General features: G+C 45.8%; 1 pseudogene; it reads right to left on the minus strand.

Annotated features, from left to right (window-relative positions):
* Window positions 218-1512, minus strand: FAM8A6P (family with sequence similarity 8 member A6, pseudogene; annotated as a pseudogene).

Raw genomic sequence — 3601 nt, forward strand, 5'->3', positions numbered from 1 at the left:
AGGTAACAGCAACAACTGAGCAATTCTTTCTCCTGGGGAGGCAGACCATGGAGTCGAGGAACTAATAACTAATTGAATTTCTCCGGTATAATCACAGTCAATTATTCTCATATGTACAGTGACACCTTTTAAATTTAGACTAGACCTTCCACGTAATAGATCAACTGTTCCTGAGGGTAAGGGTCCCCTAACTCCTGTGTGGACCTTCTTTGGTGGCTCCCCAGGAAGTGTGAACTAAAAGATGAGTTACATAGGTGTTTACAAAACACAACTGGACATTTTCCATTATTCTGGGATAAACCAAAATAAATTTTAAAATTTCATTTGGAGATTTCAAAGCTGAAAATGCTTTCAGCAAATTCTTAGATCTTAAGAAAATATATATTGTCTATTGTTTGTAAAATAATTTGCCTTTTTGATCTAAAAATTTTAATACTTGAATTTAAATAGGTTTTTCTTCTGGAAAAGTTCTTTGGCATTCAAGCAAAATCAATACTTTCAGAGTAGTCACCTGCATCACACTGGAGTGACTGCTTTAATTTCTAAAGCATCAATTAGTGTAACCCAGGGTACTGATGGCCTTGATACATGATTTAGTCTTGTCATTACAGTGTGTGGAAATCAGGGCTTTAGGGGGCATCATCTGACCCCATTTCTTTTTACCACAATGGTTCCTGCTACAATGTCATAGGTTTTTCGATTATGCTGAAAAAACAGCAGTGTGATGAAAGCAGTGAAAAAAGAAGCAATCAAAAAATTCTTGATCAAAGCTCGTATAGTGGACGTTGTAATACTAACATTTGAGGAAGGAATCACTAAAACCCAACTTAGTGCAATAAGCACTGATGTCACAACTCGAAGCCCCAGCAGGAACTTCCCTGGGGTAGCTCCACCTGCTCCCCAAATGCAAATTATCTCATAGAAACAAACTAATAATCTGTATATAAGAGCCACAACCATCATTTTCTGCAAGTCTTCCATTGATGTGCCTTCATCTATTTATTCCAATATGTAATGCATAGCAAAGAGATATCCTCTATCCCACTAAGGTGCATAATGCTTAAGACAATGGTTGCCTTTACAAAAAGAGAATAAAGAAATCCACCATCCTTGCCATAAATCTGTGGCCCAAGGATGGAATAACATATTCTCTCCCTGCCTCTCGCCCAGTCTCGCTCAGGCTTCACCAAGGGGCCATGGATCCTACCCTCCTCACTGGAGCAGCTCAGACGCCTGCACATGAGAAGCCTGGTGTCCCAGGCCCACGACTGGAGCAAGGGTGCTGACGCCAGCAGCTGCCCACAGGTCAGGCCCCACTGTCCGGAGAGAAGCGCCACCCGAAGAGAAGCTCTGTGGGGATGGCTGGGGGCTGCAGTAGGCGGGGAAGGTGACCAGGCACCAGGCCAGGCGAGGCAGCAGCAGCCAGACTGCCACAGCCAGCCATGCACCCTCCAGGAGCACCCATGGGTGCTCAGCCACACTGGCCTCTCCCACAGTGCCATAGCTTCGGGCACTTTGCAGCCCGCCTGCTCCTGCAGCCCCACACGGGAGCCAGAGGCCATCTCCCTGCACCTCCTGAGCTTGTGGGGCGGCTTCAATCCATCAGCAGCAGCGGCCCCGAGGCCTGCGGCTGTGAGCCAGCCCCGGGGGGCCCCCGTGGGGGCATGGGATGGTGGCAGCAGGAGGGCCCCTCAGAAAAGGGATGGGCTTGTGGTCCCCTCTGCCCTCACACACCTGGGAGGGTGGCCTCGTGCCCCCTCGGGACCCCCGCCATCATCGCTCCAGCAGCACCCCCCGCACCACCTGCCACTGCTCTGTCCCTATACGCCCTTCCAAAATCTCCTCCAATTATCCCCCATCCATCCAACTCCACAGTTCCCCGCTCCAGGAACCATGGACAAAACTGTTTCACTGCACCAAACTGACAACAAATTCTGAGCACTAACTTTTACTCCCCCACTTCATAACAAATGCTTTGAAAAACTTAAATAAGCAGAATGTCTGCTTTCACTTTGTCCCATTGTCACCCTGGTTCTTCCCAGGCTCAGCTTCTTTTAGATGTCCTCGGGTGCCCTTTGACAATGCATCCTCAGCTTTCACATGCTCTGGCGTTCCTTCACCAGGGTCTTTGTCACCCCACATTGGGCAGCCAGGAATGTTGAGGTGATCAGACCTAACACCAGGTCGTGGGAGCGACGAAGTCCGGTGGAGCCAAAGGAATGAGAAAAAGACAGTTTAGGAGAGAAAGTGGGACCACGGGGCCATCGCGAGTGTGGAGGCTGGGAAGGCCCCGAGCTCTGGGAGCCCACATTATTTATTGGTGCTCAACAAACAAACAGGTGGTGAGGATGTGGGGGTTGATAGGAAACAGTGTATCAAGTGAATGAGAAACATATGGCTGCTTGAGATAATGGGAGTGCTAGAAGCAAGGAGCCAGCAAGTCTAGCGGATGTGCAAGCCCTTCCTCAGCTTCTCTCCCAACACTCAGCTTTTCTCCCAACAAGTGGTTGCCAGGAGCCGGGTATTGGGGGAGAAGTTGACTACAAAAGGGCATGAAAAATCTTTTTGGGGCCAGGTGTGGTTGCTCACACTCCAGCACTTTGGGAGGCTGAGGCAGGCAGATCACTTGATGTCAGAAATTCAAGACCAGCCTGTCCAACATGGTGAAACCCCGTCTCTACTAAAAATACAGAAATTAGCCAGGTGTGTTGGCAGGTGCCTCTAGTTACAGCTACTCAGGAGGCTGAGGCAGGAGAATTGCTTCAACCCAGGAGGTGGAGGTTACAGTGAGCCGAGATTGAGGCACTGCACTCCAGTTTGAGCAATAAGAGCAAAACCCCATCTCAAAAAAAAGGAAAAAATAATTTTTTGGATCCAGGGAAATATTCTACATCTTACTTGTGTGGTAGTCACCTGGCTGCATGCATTCATGAAAACTCAGAACTGTACACAAAAATGGTAAATCACACTGCATGTAAATTACACTTTAATAAAAAAAAATTTAAGGGTCCAGGCTCTGGAATCAGACTGCATTCAAACCTTTGCTTCTCCACATTTTGGCCGTGTGACCACAAGCTATATTGTAACCTTTCTGAGTCTAATTTTCTTGACTTGTAAAACACAGCTAATAACTCCAGAGGGTTGTTGGGAAAATTAAATAAAATAATGTACGTAATTGTTTACCATGATGCCAGGCCATACAAGTGCACAATAAATGGTAAGTATTACTATTTTTATCCTCCTGTTAAAGAGCTAAGAAGTTGTTTAGGGCAGAAGTTTCTAGACAGAGTTGTGTGAGTTATTCTTTTAAATAGGAAATAGTTTATTAGACAGCTTGTTAAGAACACTAGAGTCTCATAAAAAGAGGTCATCTATTTTACTTTCTGGGTAAAATTTTATTCCCCCACAAAAATTCTTTTCAATTCTTTCTCTAAAATATTGGAGATCAGCTCCAGATGTCATTTGCTCACGTTTTTTGAGAGAACAGTGGCCATATTGGGTAAGTTTGAGTCCTTGGAAAATAAACGGAAGAAAGTGTGAATAAATAGATAAATAACCCTTCCAAATATACACCCCAATACTAGTTCCTGAAATATTAATT

This window comes from Homo sapiens, chromosome 6, assembly GCF_000001405.40.
Source record: "Homo sapiens chromosome 6, GRCh38.p14 Primary Assembly".
Classification (NCBI taxonomy): Eukaryota; Metazoa; Chordata; class Mammalia; order Primates; family Hominidae; genus Homo; species Homo sapiens.